Here is a 17063-nt window from a genome sequence, read left to right as displayed (position 1 = left end):
ATTTGGCCACAATTTTTAGCAGTATCTCTTTGACAACTGTCTTTCTTCTATAGCAATTAATTTCTTTGAATTTTATGGAGTCAATTTGTATAAATTATATTGTCCAGAGAATAATCTATTTCATTATGTTTTTTTGCATAAAATTGGGGGAAGTAGTCTCTTATGATTCTTATCATTTCTCTGGTATTATTTCTTATTTTGTATATTTTGGTACCTTCTCCCTTTTTCCCCCTAGATTTGTTTCAGTATTTATCTGTTTTATTGTTTTCCCCAAAGACCAGATTCAGAACTTATTAGTTTTATCATTTTACCTTTTTTTTTCAAGTTTTAATTTCTACTTTTATATTTATTAGTTTATTCTTTCTGATTTCCTTAGGTTTAATTTAATAATTTTTTTAAAATTTTGGGATGTTAGTAAATTTATTTTTGTTTAATATACCTGTATTTAAGCTTATGAATTAGAGTCTGAGAATTGTTTTAGCAGTATGAGATATGATATATAGTGTTTATTATATTTATTATTATTACATAGACATTTTACACTTTCAATTTTCATTGTTTTCTTTGCCAGAAGAGTTATTTGAAGAGTCTTAAAATTTTCAGATGCTAGGAGCTTCTTAACCCCAGATTGATTAGTGATTTTTCCTTTTACTGTATTGTGATTAGTAACTATTATCTGTATTCTGGAATTTACTGGGGTTTTATCTTTGATGTCCAATGTGATCAAGTTTTTTTTTAAACCAATTTCTTAAACAGAAGGGATATTCTCTGATTTCACCTTAAAGTTAAATATATGGCAATTAAATCTATTTTATTATGTTACCCTATTTATATATTTTATATTTATACCTACTTTTTAATTCTCTTGTTATTCAGGCTTTGAGAAGGTTGGATAACAGTCAATTAATAGTATGTTTCCATCTGATTATCTTTATACCTATTTTAGAGTTTGCTTTACAAATGTGTACTATATGACACCGAGACGTTTATAATCATTTTATTTTTACTGTGAATTACACCATTTAGCATTATAGTGTTTTCTTCCTTGCTCCTTTCTTCCTTTTTATTTTTATTTGTCCTATTTGCTTTTGCCTATTCTTATGAACAGGCAACTTGATGAAACACTTGGTTATAGAGGGTTCTCTTTCCCATAGAATAGAGCAGAATCTGTCTTATGATTCAACTGAATGTTTTTCTTTCAATAGGTGAGTTTAGCTCTGCAACATCTCTGAGATAACATAAAAGTTTAGCATTAGTACTGTTATTTTATGTTTTCCAATTTATAGATTTTTGAAAAAAATTCACAAGATGTTCTGCTTTCTTAGCTTTGTGTTTGCTCTTTTTATTAGAAAAGTTTATATTTCTGTTATGATTATAAATGTAACTGTAGGAAAGTTCTTAATCCTCTTATTTCCTTAAAAATGATCTATTATTCCTTTCTGCAGATGTTTCCTCTTCATCCTCCCTTTTCTACCAGCTGACCTTAGCATTATAAAATAAATTACTTAGAATTCTCCTATGATTTATCAGTTTAAAATATCTTTTTGATCTTAGTTAGCAAAGCAGTCAGTTTATATAGTATATACTGCATACCATGTCCTTGCTCCCTCAGCTTTCATCTTTTTGAAAAATTTTATCATTCATATTTTCATATTGAAATTTCATAACGATTCTTAAATTGTTATGGCTCATATTACTTACGTTTTATTATAGCAACATAATCACATACATGATTGGAATTTAGTACCATGATTGATTTCAGTGTTTATTTCAGTTATTTCACTCAGGTTTTTACAATCACTTGGATGACTAAAATTTATCTTCTAGTAAATTCCTCAAGAAGATCCTATGAAAACAAGATTTTATATATTTGTAATATGTTCAAAATTTTGAACATTGTCCGTTGCCTTTATAATTAATGAGTTTGATTGAATTTAAAAATCTCATTTGTATTTTCTTTTTTCAAGGATTTCATGCACATTACTGCATCCAGTGGTGTATCTAGAGGGCAGTGGTGTCCACTGAATCTGACTGTTGAATGTTGCTGTGGAGAGATTTGACAACAGACTGATTCCTGCCTTAAAACAAGCTACTAGAAAACTTTTGCCTTGCTGTTCAAAATGTTTCAGTAATTTTACTAGGAAGTGTCTTAGTGTTGACTGTTTCTCTGGGGAACTATGTGACTTTCACTGAGTTTTTTTTTTTTTTCTTCATTTTGAGATAGGGTCTCCCTCTGTTCCCCAGGCTGGAGTTCAGTGGAGTGCAGCCTCAAACTCCTGGGCTCAAGCAATCCTCCTGGCTTAGCCTCTTGAATAGATGGAACTACAGGTGCTCACCACCACACCTGGCCGTATTTTTTTATTTTTTGTAGAGAGACAGGGTCTTGCTCTGTTGTCCAGGCTGATCTCAAATTCCTTGACCTCAAGCCATCCTCCTGTCTCAGCCTCCCAAATGGCTGGGATTACAGGCATAAGCCACCATGCCTAACGATCAATAAGTTTTGACTACAAAAAAGTCTTATATTTTATTTATTCTTTTCTGCTGTTTTGGTTTTCTTCTGTGCGGATTTCATTTTCTGTCTAATGTTTCTTAAATTTAAGATAATTTTTCTGGCTGGGCATGGTGGCTCACATCTGTAATCCCAGCACTTTGGGAGGCCAAGGTGGGCGGATCAGGTCGAAAGATTGAGACCATCCTGGCCAACGTGGTGAACCCCGTCTCTACTAAAAATACAAAAATTAGCTGGGCATGGTAGTGCATGCCTGTAGTCCCAGCTACTCGGGAGGCTGAGGCAGGAGAATCACTTGAACCCGGGAGGCGGAGGTTGCAGTGAGCTGAGATCGCACCATTGCATTCCAGCCTGGGTGACAGTGTGAGGCTCCGTCTCAAAAAAAAAAAAAAAAAAGATAATTTTTCCTCTCAATTTGGTTACTTCACTGTTAGAGTGGAGGGGAAAAAATGGCTAGTGGTGGATCAGATCAGCTCATCAACTGTAAAGACTGACTCTATGTCATTTACTTAAGGAAGTGAAAATTCATAGTAGAGTATGATGAGCTGGTAAAACCAGAGTTTCTGAATTTACCTCTGAAGATCTAGGCTACATATTTATTGCTGCAACAATCTATGTTAAGAATTTTCTTCTCAATATTCATGGCCAACATCTGGCTTCTAAAGGAAAGGCTTTTGGTCTTTTCAATCACTTGCTGATAGGGTGAGACTGCATTGTTACCCATAACCACATGACCTAATTTAGAATCAATCTTGGCATCCAGTCTTGCATTTCTAATCAAATTTACAATCCACCTTTCAGCTTCTTCTGGAGTCATGTTCAATTTATCTGCCAACATGTTAATGCTGATACACTGGTGGATGCGACAGAAAGTCTCAAATATGAAGAGACGGGCATGAATATTGAGAAGAAACTTAATTAGAATAGCAGGTCAGAGGCTCCTAACTGGGCAACTCAAGATTCTGGCTTCTACTGAAGAACCATAAAGAAAAGATGAAAAAAAAACTATTAAAGAAAGATGAAATAATAAAACTATTATATAAAGGGTGACTTACATTTTGGAAACAACATATTACGTATAAATTTTGAAGAATTGGAATAAAATTGATTCATTTAAAAAAAAGAATTTTCTGAGACTGGTGTTCTCAAGACAACATTTAGATTTAGTGTTCACACTAGTGGTCACTAATAGAGCTGTGTCAGATAGTGAAAGAATATCTACATTTTCCTGTAAAGAAGACTTTGTGCTTTTGTTCAGAAAAAAATCATAAGGCTAACAATTGTTAAGATGAGAAAGGAGGCTTGTCCACTATGTAACCGGAGTGACTAGTCTTTCCACATTGATTGTATGTGAACATAAGGCCTACTGTGTACAAAGAACACTCTGCTAGGTATTCTGGGAGAAGCAGAGAAACTAAGAGACTCAGTCCTAACCTTAAGGATTATATTTGTGTTGAGTGGAAAAAGTAGAGCCTGTTGAAGGATTTATAAGTTATCAAAACAATGCATTAGTAAGTCTCAGGCAAGAAAGGAGAAATGGAAAAGTTTAAGTCCTAAAAAAAATTACAAAACAGGGAGTGATATGATTTATATGGAGGGATGGCTGCTTGATGGAATAAATTTTGATCTATGTCTTTGAGAGAGATGATGAACCTAGCTAGGCAATGAGTTATCCCAAGGGGGCACAGCACAATAGTGTGAGATACAGGGAAAGATGAAAGGACAGTGCAAGTTGTATTTTGTGTGAGGCAGGAGATTGGCTGGATTAAAAAAGTATTTGTAGGACTTGATATTCAAGAAACATCTCCTTATTGCTTTTTTTTCTCTGTATAAAGCCACTGGGGGCTTTATACAGTCAGATAGACACTGAGATGGTCAGAGAGAAGTTAGACATGCCACTGCCCTCAAGGAACCTCCATTCTAAATAATATAGAATGCATCCACATAGGAGACAGTAGCTGAAGTTTGAATAAACTGGTGTATGAGAAAGAATAAAGTGGTAGTATTGCAAGGACAGGTAGGGTTTGAATCTGTAAAATGAGATGAAATAATACTTACTTTGCAGGGCTGTTAGAATAAAATGAAATAACATATGCAAAGTGCTTAACACTTAATGGGCAATTGATATGTGTTTGTCATCTTTCCTTCCTTCCCCACCTCTCAATTCTGACATAACTTGTATATAAAAAGGAGAGATCCTTGAAAGATGCACAGAAGTGAAATTTTCAGAAGAGGTGTGACTGGCCTTGGGCCTTCATTGTGGGGCTTAATGAACTGAGGAACATTATGAACAAAGAGGTGGGAATACAGAACATGCTTTTGGGAGCTTCGTTGAAGTTGAGTGGGAGAAGAGATTTGAAAGGGGGACTTGAAACCTAGAGGTTGGATGGTACTTTTGTATTAGACTGGTGCAAATGTAATTGCGGTTGTTGTCATTACTTTCAATAATAAAAACCCCAATTACTTTTGCACCAACCTAATAGCATTTTTCTTCTGCCCAGATTCCACTTTGTATACTATAATAACTGATGGTTTATGTGTCACCCTGCATCAGCTGTTTTGGTAAAGAGGAGTCATGAGTTGATTAACTTTGAATTCTCCATAATAAACAGCACAGCACTTTACACATAGTAAGGTCTTCAATACATATTTATAAAGCAGGTTAATCAAACAAATGCTTGGGTACGTCAGGAACAAGGGCTGTATGAATGTGACATTTTATGCTAATGTATCAAGCTATGTATTTAATAATAAAATGTGGAAACACATGTTGTAGAGTGGAATAGTGGGGTGCCTTGGAGAGAGCCAGATTACAGTTTTCTCCCTGGCTTAGTGGCTATGGACTTTGTGAACTTGGTCAAGTTCTTTTGCAGTATGTGCTTAAACCCAAGACCATTTCTTAGCTGCCTGCTCTTCTGGCCTTAATTTCCTCATCTATTCAATAGCTAGTACCTTATAGAGTTGTGAGCATTAAGTGAAAACTAGCTCAGTGCCTGGCACATAATGGGTGCTCACATAAATATTATTGATAATCACAATAATAGTTATTTTTATTTTTCCTAATTGAAATATTGATATGAAAATATTTTAAGTGACACATTTACTCTTGTTCTATCCAATTATCAAATAAAATTCTAAATAATGTACACTGCTATTCTGTAATATTTTATTGTTGACTCTGTTGTGTTAAAAACATCTTATAATGTTAGTTTCGTTTTTGGAGATAAAAGACCAATTCTCTGCAGCGGGAGTTTAAGGAGTGTTTTGTTAGTGTCTGCCTTGGGCTCTTCCAGGCCTTCTGCAAACTTGATTTCCTTTGATCCTCACAGCAGTTCTGAAAGTTTTGGTCATAGTTTTTTATCCTCATTTTTGCAACTGAAGAAAATTAAGGGTCAAGTGACAAGGTTAGTGAGTGGCAAAGTCATTTATAATAATTAATGAGAAAAAAGAATAGGCTGAAGTTAAATTTGGAATCAGTGTCTAAAATAACTAGGAAGTAAGATAAAGCACAGTCAATATGAGCACCTGCAAAGGATTACAGAAAAATGAGATTCCACCTGTCTTAAGTATGCAGGGTGCTATCTTGTTCAGTCTGCTGACTATGAAAAGTATCGGTAAGCTTCATTTTTCAAAGACATTTGCCTTTTTGATAACATAGTCACAAAATGCCAAATTTTGCTCTTCATAATTTTCCCTGAAAATTTAGAAACTTAGTTTTCCAGTGTTCTGAAGGGATGACCTATCACACACACGTAAACAGCTAGTCATCTATTAAGTGTTTTTAAGCCCTTTTAGGGCATGTATATATTGCACTGTAATCTATACAGGACCTGGATACTGTTTTGAATTGAAGCGTTCATTTTATACATAGTGTTTAACAGGCTTTATGGTGTGATACAAAACAGCATTTCTAACTTCCCCATCATCTAGACTTCAAACCTCAGAGTAAACTTTGAGACCTTGACCCTGTGTTCACATCAGTTTTCAAGTTCTGCATATTCCTCACCTCTATTCACTTTTCAAAGCAAGTGCCGTTTCCTTCTTGCAGCCTGCCCTGATCTTACCCCTATTGTGCAGTTGCTTCTACCTTGGTGCACCCTTGATACTTAGCATTTAATCACTGTTAGTCTCAACTTACCACTGAATGGGATATTTTAACTTAAAAATTAATATCTCTATTCCACTATGAGACAGTGACCTTAACTGTCTTAATAATAGTGTGTTCCTACTGCCTGATACAGGGTTTGGCAAATAGTACTTTGCTTGATAATTTAGTGAAATGAATTACTTTCATTATGATGGAACCCCAGTAAAATTTTTGAGACCAGAGATAACACTTTTTTTTTTTTTTTTTTTTTTTTTAGATGGAGTCTTGCTCTGTCACCCAGGCTGGAGTGCAGTGGCGCGATCTCGGCTCACTGCAACCTCCACCTCCCGGGTTCAAGCAATTCTCCTGCCTCTCAGCCTTCCGAGTAGCTGGGACTACAGGCACGTGCCACCATGCCTGGCTAATTTTTTGTATTTTTAGTAGAGGCAGGGTTTCACAGTGTTAGCCAGGATGCAGAGATAACACTTTGTAATATTTGAAGGCTAAATTGAGAAAAGAAGACAGATAAGGCCAAATATTATGGGTGATATTCTTGAAATTATTTGTTACCATGGTCTTTGTTATTGTTGGCTTGCTGAAAAGTAGCTCAAGGTTAGAACAGAATCTTTTACTTCACAAATGCTAACCCCCCATCGCTGTATTAGTTGGTATTTGCTTTCTTGGTAATTTTCTTTTAAAAGATCATGATAAACCTAACTGGATAAGGATCAAATTAATTAATGCCTCCAAAATAGATCTGTGACTTTTTATATTAAGCGCATTACTGCCACTCCCAACTACCATTCTGAGGGATTTTTGGTTTTGAAATTCAAAGCAGGGATCCTTGGAGTTGTAGTGTCTCTTTTTTCTTTTGAGGAATATGAGCTCACCATGCATATTAAACTCACTTATGTATAAAGCAGTAAAGTGAACACTGCCTAGTAGCAGTCAAGATAACGAAATGGAAAGTTTGTGTCTGTGTTGCTGAGTATCTTCCATTTTGCCTTGTTACTACAACAACCACATTGTAATCTGGAAATTACCAGTTCTTCTCCCGCTGAAGGCAGTGGGTCAGGATTGAAGAGCATTGAGCAGTTCAGTGAAGCTTGTCCAGATGTCAGTCCAGAAGAGATTTTACAATTGTAAAAGCTCAGATTAGTTTTAACGTTGCAATCCTTTTTGTCATTTTTGAGTGTTTCTTTCATTTTTTATTTAGACTTCATTGAAATTTTTCTTGTTAGTTATAGATGTTTTCCATTGTAAACCTCCTCCAGCCTCCCTCCCCTAGAAACATTAGAATAAACTTTTCAGTTTTTATGAGAAGAAATGCAAAATGGTCATTAAAATTTTGAGAAAGTTTTGGCAGTGGTTATTTTTTAAATGCTTTTAATGGAATGAAATATGCTACATCACACACATTTGTGCTTTTTAAAAACATAAGTATTTGAGATTGATATATTGTAGTTTAATCCCCTCTTTGTATTTAATACTATTATTTAGGTTTATTGTTAAAATAATATTTAACAGTGTGTGATATCAAGGATAGCTGGAAGGCTTATAATACAAAAATTTTAATGTTTAGGAAATGAAAGATATTAATATATATTAAAACTCTTTTATTATACCATAGAAATTAACACTTTGTGCCAATTCTAACCTCAGGATTATTTTTTGTGCCTTGTGTATGTTCCAGTTGATCTCTTCATCAATTTTATGAATAGCATAAGTAAATTTAGTTCATTAATATATTTATATACTTTAAATAGACCAATGTAAACAGATTCTTATCTGCCATATGTTGAAATGCTTTAGTAAAGACATAACTGCCTAGTCAACAAAGATGGCATTGAATTGCACTGTTTTGGAAAAAAAGTTGAGCGAACTAGATGCCTGTTAATCTGGTTCTTTAAATATCATAAACAAAAGTATCAGAATGTGTTTCCAAGGACAAAGGCGGGGTTTTCCGGGCTTTGATTGGTTGCTGCCTTGTCCTGTCCCACAGCCATCCTTAATTGGCTTTGGGTAGATTGGAATCACATAAGCAGGGTGACATTTATTACTTTCCTAGTTGTTTCATTGCACTGAGCCCTGAGATTCCCAAGGAGTAACCATAAAAGATTTCTTTTATTTTGTCCATGACCTACGAGACAGGATCATTCTAAGAAGAGCAGGCATGAGTTTGAGTGCAAGAAGAGTCACTCTGCCTGCAATAACGCCAATAATTCTACAGAAAAGGGTATGTGACTTCTTTATCCTTTTTTTCTTTAATTTTTCTTGCTGCTTTTTTTCCCCTGTTACTGTGTGTTTATTAATACATAGGAAGCTTTACTTACATACCCTTGAAAGAGCCTATAATTCATTAAAGTTGTAGGTAAAATTAAAGGACATATTATTGGAATTGAACTAGGAAAAATAATACTGCGCTAGGACATCGCTATAGTTAAAAACTTTCACCTAAAAGAAGTTTGATCTCGATTTCAGGTCACTGTGATTTAGAGACTGTATTGAAACTTTTCCTTTTTTTTCTTTCTACTGTAACTTCAAGCCTCTTTGTTTTTAGCTCAGTAGGAAATCTGCTGTTATGTCTTATATTTGTTTACTAAGGAATAGTTTCTTTGTTTCACCATAATTCATAATATATCAATCTCTTCATTGTTGAATAGACTATACAATTATTTTACTGTTTAAACATGTGTTACCAGTTTATTCTCAGGTTTCTACCCATTTCTATTGAGCTTCTGCGTATTTGCTTAAGAAAAACTTTCCATTAAATTCCCCTGTGAAAGGGCTTTCTGTTAATTATTAATGCAGTCAATCCTGTGTATGAAAATATTTTATTTATTAGTTTTTTGTAAAGATTATTTTTATGTCTCACTTACAGCATTGCATTTTACAAGGTGGTATATGCAACCATGTCATGTAGTCATAGTAAACTTTTCTTGTAACTCTCCAAAATAAGAACATTGCACTGGACTTCTTAAAGAATCAAATCTGTCGCATTGAGAAGGAAGGCACTAAAACTCAGTTTTGGCAATATGCTTACCAAATGGTTTTGGTGACACTAGAAACTGTAGTGTTTATTTTTGAACTCAACTTTTAATAGTTAACTGTTAACTATCAGTGCATTCCATTAAGTCAAAGGTCATGTTGCAATTTATTTGAAACATGGCAAATCTAACAGTTAAAGTGGCTATAGTTTTTAAAAACGAAGTGCCTCTTTACTATTTTTAATTTTTAGATTTTCAGCTTATTTTCTTATCCAGTCAACCATTTATTTACTGAGAATATTTTATTTGGCATTGGAACAGCTATATGATAATTTTGCCAACATGAGTTCTTTATCTTTCTTGAGGCCTTTTGCTAATTGTAAGCAAATTTAATTAAAAATATTTTGCTTTGGGTTTTAACTTTTATTTGGAATTGGACTTAGCAGTGCATTAATAATGACAATATAGGTTCCTGGACTCACTGAGGATGTGAAAAGGCATATTAACATTTATCAAGTCTATGTTCTCATGTTTGAATTCTTCTTTATCCGGTTAATATTGCAGTTTAGATTGACTAAGAAACTTCTATCATATGGTTTGTTTTTGATGACATGTTGGTATGATGGAAAATGTACTATCTGGACTCTCCATTTACTAGCCCTGTGACTTTGGGCAAATCCAGTAAACTCTTGGAGTCTTTACTTCCTCATCTGTATAACAAACTGAGGAGTTTTCAGTAAATAATATCTTCAGTCTTATTTGTGTCTATAATTCTGTGAACCAAATATTTTATATTTTCATGGTTATAGTAAAATATGTAAATTATTTTTATTATTTTAGAATTATTATAAAACATTAGGAAAGAATGCTGTAATTTTCAAGGAGTTTGAACAATTAGCCTAGGGGAAATTGGTTATGGGAAAACTTGGCTAGAAAAATAACTTCTAGCACTGTTTGCCAAGTAGGAAAACAAGATTACTCTGGAAAGCGGTGGTTATTATTGATGTTACATCTGAGCTGCCAATGGTCACCTCATTGTGATTTATCGTGGTATTTTAATAATAAGCTTCTTGTCAAGTTTCTGTTATAATATTTATAAAAGTCAAAATTCCCTAGACTCAAGTCTATGCTATTTTTTTCAGTGAGTGCACATATTTTGGTGTTTATATAATTTAGCACACCATTATGTGCTTCTCCTGATATTTTAACTCTGAAAATACCCATTTGATTGTTCTGAAGATCTTAATGTCTTTTATTTTAGGAGTTGGGTATTTTCTGATTTAAAAATCATCCATCTGCCCTGGTCACACCATGATTAATTTTTTCTTCCAATATAAGAAGTTATTTCATACTTGTAATTAATTTATTTTCCATATATGCCATAATTTTAAATGATCTTATAAATCAGTACAAGCATTTCTCAGAGAATTTGGGGAGCAACTTATTTTCCCATGAAGGCAGGTGCTTTTTCCACAGGTTTGGTGTAAAGTTCACTCATCCTGAATGAGTGGCCCTTGACAAATAATTTATCAAATGGAATCCTAATCATTTAAAAGGCTGAGAGCATTCTGAAAATGCTCCGTAGCAATAGGGAGTAATTTTCTTATCAGGTAGTGTGTCTGATCCAAGTGGCTGTAAGTGTCTCTGGTAGTGCTTAGGAACTTGAATTTTAAACATGGCCCTTCATGTGGTATAGATCTATTTTGTAGCAGAGAAAGTACGCCTTGATCTTTGAGAAGAAAGGTATTTTGGTAGATTCTCTATCAAGTAAATTGGAAAGAAAATGTTCACTTCCAAATTCTATTAGGATCTGATTTCTCTGATTTAAGTGAATTAAGGTTCTGGTGAAGAACGTTCCTCATGTGCTTCAGAAACGATCACATCCTCAGCAAACATTGTGAATGAATCTTTTACCTCATCGCATTTTTCTCAGATCATCACTAGGTTGTAGCTTTTTACTTTTTCAAATGAGAAGACTGAGTCTCTTGGGTGTTGAGTGACTTATGCAAGGTCACCCAGAAGGTCAGTGGCAGAGCTAGAAATAGAATCTAGATCTTGTGACTTCCAGTATGCTTCTCCTAGATACGTGTTACCTCCTGAAATTAATATGGAAATGAAATTGCCTTATGGTGGGTATAATTGCCATTCAAGTCTGGAATTAGCTTAGGCAAATCCTTTCATCTTCCTCTGCACCTCCACCAACTCCCTTATGCTCTAGCATAGAAAACATTTTATTCAGAAAGCAATTGTAAGCAGCCAAGTGTGTGTGTGTGTGTGTGTGTGTGAGTGTGTGATAGAAAGACAGTTTATACCTGGAACTCCAGATTGGCACATTACATAAAGAAAACATTTTAAGGTCCCGGAGAGTTAACATAAGGCTCAAGTATTGTAAAGTATAAACTAAGTATAATATAAAATTCACATTCTTTTATGGAAACACTACCAGGTCAGAAGGCCTTACATCCATATCCTGATTCGGTGGGTCAGGCATATTTCATGTCTCTATCAGATTAACATTTTTTGTTTGTTTGTTTATTTGTTTGTTTTTTGAGATTGAGTCTTGCTCTGTCACCCAGGCTGGAGTGCAGTGGCGCCATCTTGGCTCACTGCAACCTCTGCCTCCTGGGTTCGAACGATTCTCCTGCCTCAGCCTCCTCAGTAGCTGGGACTACAGGCGTGTGCCACCACACCTAGCTAAATTTTTGTATTTTTACTAGAGAAGGGGTTTCACCATGTTAGCCATGATGGTCTCCATCTCCTGACCTTGTGATCTGCCCACCTCGGCCTCCCAAAGTGCTGGGATTACAGACATGAGCCACCGTGCCCAGCCAACATTGTTTTTAAGTTATGTTTGCAAACATTTTTGCATTCTTCATCCATGCTACAATTACAGGAGATGTTCATAAGCACACAAGATCCTGAAGTATCTTCTGAAATCTCAGAGAAAAAAAGGGATACTTTTAATGACATATATTTTTTTAAGATTCAAATCCTTTTGAAAATTGTAAATTCATGAGTGTAATACGGAGCAATGCCATTTATGAGAAGATCTAATTCCCCATTCATATAAGAGAATAGTTCATGTTATAATCATTTCTTTCCTCATACAATTAGACTAATTGCTATGATTTTCTAAAAGTGATTTAGTGGAGGAAAGAACACATCATCACATCACTATTTTTCCCAGAATCTTTTAAACATGCACAAAATCAGTCCAGGCTTCCTTAGCATTTGCCATGCTCCAGGGCCTGCCTGGCCCTCAGCCTGCCCAGCTTCCCTTGAAGCCTTCACTGCAGCATATCGTTTGCCTCCTTGGGCTTCAAACGGCTTTTAAAATCTGTATATCTGCACTTCTGCTCCCAGAATTGTGCTCTGCAGCCTATAGACAACACCAGGCTCATTTGCTTTCCCAAATGCTGTCTATTGCCTAAGTGTCGGCTCAGGCTGTGTTCTCATCCTAAAGCCTTCTAAGACTCTTTTGCTTCACCTTTATCTTCAAGGTGCCTTGATTTAGTATCAGTGGACCCACCTTTATTACTCATTTGTCAATTCAACCACTACAGCCCTGTAACATCAATTTTATTATTACCTTTTAAATAATATTTAAGTCATATTGCCGTCCATAGGTGTGTACAATATGACTTTCAGTTGCTCTATCTTGTTTATTTTTGTATATCTTGGACCACCATTTGGTTTCCAAAAGTTGTCTTTTGATTTTTGGTCTTACAACTAGATCTTAGTATTTTAAAGGAAGAAATCTTTAAAATGTTTTGTCATTTATGGGCAGAATGTAATTTCATGTAACCAAAAAACACAAAGGACTGTGGATTAAGGAGGAAAAGAGATTTATTTTTCTTTCACTTTACAAGGATAAGTCCAAAGCTAATGTTGCAGCCCCACAATGTCCTCAGGCAACTGAACTCCTTCTCGCTTTCTATTATTTCTTCTCTAGTGTGGGTCCTTTTTCCTTTTATGGAAAGATAAATGTAAATTTCCAGTCATCCTGTTTACAGTCTTTGCACAGAGAATGTGAAGGACCAAGAACAGGCTCGTGAGTTTTATACCAGTTAACGTGCCATTGTGGAGTAACCAGGAGTTTCTGCTTACATCTTGTTGGCCAACTCTGGATACAAGAGGAGTCAGGAAATGCGGGCCTGGAGTGTAGCACACTGCCCTCCTCACCAGAATCAGGATTCATCAGGAAGGAAGAGAGGAAGGGTGGATATTGGTGGGTAACTCGCCATCTCCTCTACAAGTGCCTTGGACATATTAGACATTTAGTAAATATTTGTCTGGGATTTTTGTTATTCTGGTGCCAGATATGAAATGTAGCTATGCTTTTTGAGCAAATAATATTCTATTACTTGTATAGGGATTGTAGGTATGGTAATAAGTGGGGAGAGAGCAGATTTCCTGTGCAGAAGAGGGTCGTGGAAGGCCATGGATGGTGGTCTTAGTTTAGATGGTGGACTTGCTTGGAAGGTGATAGTGAAGTGGTAGTGGGCATTGTTACTGCTTTTTATCCAGAGTTCTCATTCTTGCTAAACCTTGATATTTCTCCTGCCCTTTTTACTTTTGTACAGAGTAACTTAGTTGCATACTCAACCAGGAAGGGTGTCACACAGATGAATGGTATTTGCATTTTAGTGAAATGTTTCTTTTCCTGAGAAGTGAGTTTTTAGGAAGTGTGTTGTAGCAGATTATATGTATGCTTTAGAGCCAGGAAACCCAGAGTTTGAGTTCAGCTTCATCACTCTCCAGTGCCCTGGCTTTGGGAGCATTCTTTCAAAACCCTCTGAGAATCAGTTTCTCTATCTTGGGGATGATGATGCTTCCTCACAGAACAGTTGTGAGGATTCAACAGAATAAATATTTAGAAGCATTTCACACATAGTAGAAGTCTAACAAATATGAATTTCCCTTTTTCCCCACCTGTGAAATGGCATGTTTTACTAGTTTCATAAACAGTTTAAATTTCCCTGTGACTGAGAATTTAAACTTTCCGTGCCCTATTCTCCTAAAGTGGTTATCCAAAGATTTCATAGTAGAAAGTGAGTCAAACAAAAAGTGGTTTTTCTTCATAGATTTCAGCCAGGGAGAGAAAGACAATATATCTTTCAAATGCTTGCTCCCACTGCTTTCCTTTCTGTAACTTTAGAAGGTCTCTAATTTGAATTAAAAAAAATGAATCCAACTATATACGCTGATGAATATATTTTTTAAAATCTTTGGGAACGTAGATTTAAATACAAGATAGGTGGTTAATTACTCCTCCTTTCAGTGTCCTAAGGAGTATTAGACGGGGACTTCTGGGTTGTATATTTGAAAGGGATAAAAGTAGGTCTAGTATTAAGACGTTGCTTCAGTAGGCAAGTGGTGTTACTATTAATAGAACCTTAGCTGTATGATGGTGAGAACTTGTTACTTTTGATCATCATTGAACCCCAATGCCCAGCACATAGAAGGCACAAAGTTGGTATCTAATTACCAATTAGTTGGATAAAAACAATTTTTGTAAAGGCAAGATTGAGCTCTTTAGATACTGACCTGCTATTTCCTTCCTAATATTTGTCTCTGTTGCTTTTCTTTAATTTTTGCCAAGTTTCTCATCTTTTGGGATGAAAAGCTGTAATGCTCAGGCCTTTTCATTACCTTTATCTAGCTCCAACTTGCTGCAGTGGGCAATTTGGTATACCCTTCACACAGAGTATTGCCCTTCACAAAGAACAATAAAAAATAGCAGCTACAACATGTTCAGCATTGATTACACATTCACTTTAACCCTCATAAGAACCCTAAAAGCTTGGTGGCCAAACCCATTTTTGGATGAGGAAAATTGGCTTAGAGAGTTAAGTGTCTTGGCCAAAGCACCTCGCTCATAAATGACAGAGGTGGGACAGAGGTCCGGGCCTCTGCTCCACCTAGCACAGGAGGCTGTCCCTCAGAATTGCCTGGGCACATGTACTGCATAGCTACTCATCACCGTGTAGCTGCAGTAATTTGTCCTCTCACCTGTAGTCTTTTCATGGGACGAATCTCACCTTTTCTGCCAATCTGCCTTTTGCTCTCCTAGTTACTTTTCCTTGCTGTGCACTCAGTTTTGCCTCAAAGACATAGTGATTCAACCATCAGGTCAGAGTTTCTTAGAGCTCAACAGGACTGTAGGGGTCTCTTGGGACTTATTCAGAAATGCCTTATTTTGCTTTCAAAATTTTATAATAATAATTGCTAACATTAGTTGAGTGCTATCAGTTTGCCAGCATTTTGCCCATTTTACAGTATGAGGAGTCTAAAACTCATGGCTAATAATAAGTTTGGGGTCTGAGATCTGATCACAGCAGATTCCAGGATCCCCTGTCCACTGTGAACACCTGGGCTGAACCCCCATGAGTACAGTTGCTGGGCATCATGATTTTGCACACTGTACTGCATGTTCCACATTTGGCAGTGAAGGCTGATTAAAAATAGCTGGGCTAATGAACGGTCTCAGACTACTGCTTGGGGCGGTCTGTAGGGCTGGCTCTCATGGCTGTGCCCCAGAACTCTAAGCCAAATATTAAAAATAATAATCTCTTTTTTGGCAGGAAAAAAAAGAAGCAAGACTTTTGGTAATTTCAGATTCTAAACCCCTAGAAAGGATAAGGATTTTCTACCCCTGTAGGATATTAATAATGCTTGCTATTATGATAATTCTCAAAGAGGAATTCAAAATTTGTTTTGGCAAGAACAGCATTGTCAGAAAGCCTCCTAATCAGACATGCATATTTGAACGTATACATTCAGGCTTTGTTTGGGAAAATACCAGGAATTATTATTTTGCAGTTTGAAAACTGAAATTATCTTGGGTAGTTTTATCAATATTTGAAGAAAAAATTTGATATAACTGTTCGAAATCCCAGCGAAAACTCCAAGTTTGAGTTCCAGGAAAGGTTCCTGGTGAGGTGACACATATGTATATATACATATGCCCCCCCAATCCTTCTTATTAATGTTTAATATGTAGAAATCATTTATCTTAAAAATTCAAATATTTACTAATTCTGAAAAAATAGATATTAACTTTGTCACAAGCTTGTGATTGTATCAAACAGAAACCCCATAGTTTTAACAAGGTTGCAGTTTTCGAAACATGATATTTTCTCTATTTGCACAAACTGAGAAATAAAGACTCCCTCTGCTGGCTACTTCAGTATTTGCAATTATTCTGGCGAGAAGCTATGAAAAGTGAAAAAACAAAACAAAATGAAGAAAAATAGTCTTTTTTTGACACTCAAAAAGCTAGGTGCTTTGGGATATATGTATGTATACATCTAATTATGTTCTAGTGTTTATTTATCTAATACTTTTATCCAAGATGTCATGTAGAAGCAGCAGCTTAAAGCAGCCTAAATACTGGACGAACAGAATGGTAAGAATACAGCATCAGGTGGGAGCCAGAAATGGGGTTCTGTGGCTGGCTCAGCTGGTGACCATTTGGAGG

General features: G+C 35.7%; 1 protein-coding gene and 1 pseudogene across 5 annotated transcripts in view; one reads left to right on the top strand and one right to left on the bottom strand.

Annotated features, from left to right (window-relative positions):
* GRB14 (growth factor receptor bound protein 14) overlaps nt 1-17063 on the top strand; it is a 129066-nt gene that overhangs the window by 44336 nt on the left and 67667 nt on the right. Inside the window, exon 1 of one of the 5 annotated variants that reach the window (NM_001303422.2) lies at nt 8652-8832. The exons of the other annotated variants lie outside the window; for them this stretch is intronic. Coding sequence (NP_001290351.1) covers nt 8770-8832 — 63 coding nt within the window. The 5' untranslated portion in view covers nt 8652-8769. Of the gene's footprint in view, nt 1-8651; nt 8833-17063 lie in introns of those variants that run through there. 5 annotated transcript variants of the gene reach the window in all.
* EIF3EP3 (EIF3E pseudogene 3) lies at nt 3127-3406 on the bottom strand (annotated as a pseudogene).

Source organism: Homo sapiens, chromosome 2, assembly GCF_000001405.40.
Source record: "Homo sapiens chromosome 2, GRCh38.p14 Primary Assembly".
In the NCBI taxonomy this organism is placed as follows: domain Eukaryota; kingdom Metazoa; phylum Chordata; class Mammalia; order Primates; family Hominidae; genus Homo; species Homo sapiens.
Note: the sequence above shows the minus strand (reverse complement) of the source record. Positions and strands in the feature narration are given on the sequence as shown.